This window comes from Homo sapiens, chromosome 4, assembly GCF_000001405.40.
Source record: "Homo sapiens chromosome 4, GRCh38.p14 Primary Assembly".
Lineage (NCBI taxonomy): Eukaryota > Metazoa > Chordata > Mammalia > Primates > Hominidae > Homo > Homo sapiens.
The window spans coordinates 87935125-87937194 of NC_000004.12; the positions used below are offsets into that span (position 1 = coordinate 87935125).

At 42.3% G+C, this 2070-nt stretch overlaps 1 annotated feature.

The window, feature by feature from the left end:
• Positions 707 to 1528: an enhancer, noted in NCBI's record as "OCT4-NANOG-H3K27ac hESC enhancer chr4:88856983-88857804 (GRCh37/hg19 assembly coordinates)". NCBI's record gives its function as "activates a minimal SCP1, AML or CMV promoter by ChIP-STARR-seq in naive and primed H9 embryonic stem cells {active_cell/tissue: H9 hESC(naive and primed)}" and the evidence as "EXISTENCE:reporter gene assay evidence [ECO:0000049][PMID:30033119]".

Below are 2070 nucleotides of genomic sequence, written 5' to 3' on the forward strand. Positions count from 1 at the left end.
CCTGAGCAAAAGGCAACTCTGCCTTCCCTGTAGTAAATGTAATTTAATATAGGTCATTAGCTAAGAGAAAAGCAGCAATTTGAATTTTCAAAGTTTGATTCTCAGGGTCCTCTACTTAAGAATCACCTGGGCTGCCCATTAATGGAAAGGGCAGGGAGGGTCCCATGAATTTGCATTTCCATGGGAAGCCAGAGTTATTTTTTTCCTTTGCAGAATCTCAATAAGCTCTGGAGAATTAGATGGACAGGAAAGATTGATTCTTTTGATTATTTGTGAGAATTATTGGCAGCTCCTTAAGTGGCAGTAACATAGAGTAAATTCCTACCTCAAAAATATCTTAATAGATTTTTAGGTTCAGACCTATAAATTATTAGATATATTAGTTTTTAGATTTCATATTTCAGTTATGTTGGATTCTACTAACTCATCAATTCATGGCATTAATTCATGGTATTTCCAGAGTTCTCTAAAGTCTTTTCATATCATACTCACTTTCTATATTTCAATATGCCCCAGGAGGGCAGGAATCTTTTTGTTTGTTCACAGATGCATAACAACTACCTAAAACAATTCCTGGCTCATAGTGTTACAGTTTGGATTCACCGCTGGTAACTCAGATACCTGCCATTGGTAACAATGGCAAGTGTTCAACAAATATTTGTTGAATGAATGAATAAATGTCAGATTAAATGTCAGTTTCTCATTTTGTTGAAGCCGTAACTGTGCGCACAAAGATTCAGAAGGGATTCTTAGGATTTGAACAAGGCCAGTGGCTTTTGATTCAAGGTACTAAGGTTTCATGCACATCCGTGTGAAGAGACCACCAAACAGGCTTTGTGTGAGCAATAAAGCTTTTAATCACCTGGGTGCAGGTGGGCTGAGTCCGAAAAGAGAGTCAGTGAAGGGAGATAGGGGTGGGGCCGTTTTACAGGATTTGGGTAGGTAAAGGAAAATTACAGTCAAAGGGGGGTTGTTCTCTGGCGGGCAGGAGTGGGGGTCGCAAGGTGCTCAGTGGCGGTGTTTTCGAGCCAGGATGAGCCAGGAAAAGGACTTTCACAGGTAATGTCATCACTTAAGGCAAGGACCGGCCATTTACACTTCTTTTGTGGTGGAATGTCATCAGTTAAGGTGGGGCAGGGCATATTCACTTCTTTTGTGATTCTTCAGTTACTTCAGGCCATCTGGGCGTATAGGTGCAAGTCACAGGGGATGCGATGGCTTGGCTTGGGCTCAGAGGCCTGACATTCCTGCCTTCTTATATTAATAAGAAAAATAAAACAAAATAGTGTCGAAGTGTTGGGGCAGCGAAAATTTTTGGGGGGTGGTATGGAGAGAGAATGGGCGATGTTTCTCAGGGCTGCTTCAAGCGGGATTAGGGGTGGCGTGGGAACCTAGAGTGGGAGAGATTAAGCTGAAGGGAGGCCTTGTGGTAAGGGGTGATATTGTGGGGATGTTAGAAGAAACATTTGTCGTATAGAATGATTGGTGATGGCCTGGATACGGTTTTGTGCGAATTGAAAAACTAAATGGAATAACAGAAGGAGAAAAACAGGCATAAAAGGTTTAAGAATTGGGATGACTCAGGACATCTGATTAGAGAGTGCCTAAGGAGATTCAGCATAGTCCTGCCAGCAAAGATTATTTATTTACTTCAAGAGTTAAGAGTGGCAGTTTGGGGATAGCACCAGGAGATATCAGCTGTGGTGGCTTGGAGAAACAGTGTAAACCGGCAGTGTAAACAAGAGCAGGGCATGTATGAGTAGTTGAGAACGCTGAATAGGAGTATGACTAGACAGAAGATAGTAGGGATGACAAGTTTTTTGGGCCACAGTCTAAGTTGGTCTGGTGTCTGGAATGAGACTGGGGCCTAATAAAAAGGAGCGTCTATACAGGAGCTTAAATGGGCTGTATCCTGTAGCATTCCGAGGACAGGCCTGAATTCTGAGAAGGGAAAGTGGTAAAAGTATTGTCCAGTCCTTTTTAAGTTGGTGGCTGAGCTTGGTGAGGTGTGTTTTTAAAAGACCTTTAGTCCATTCTACTTTTCTTGAAGACGGAGGACCGTAAGGGATA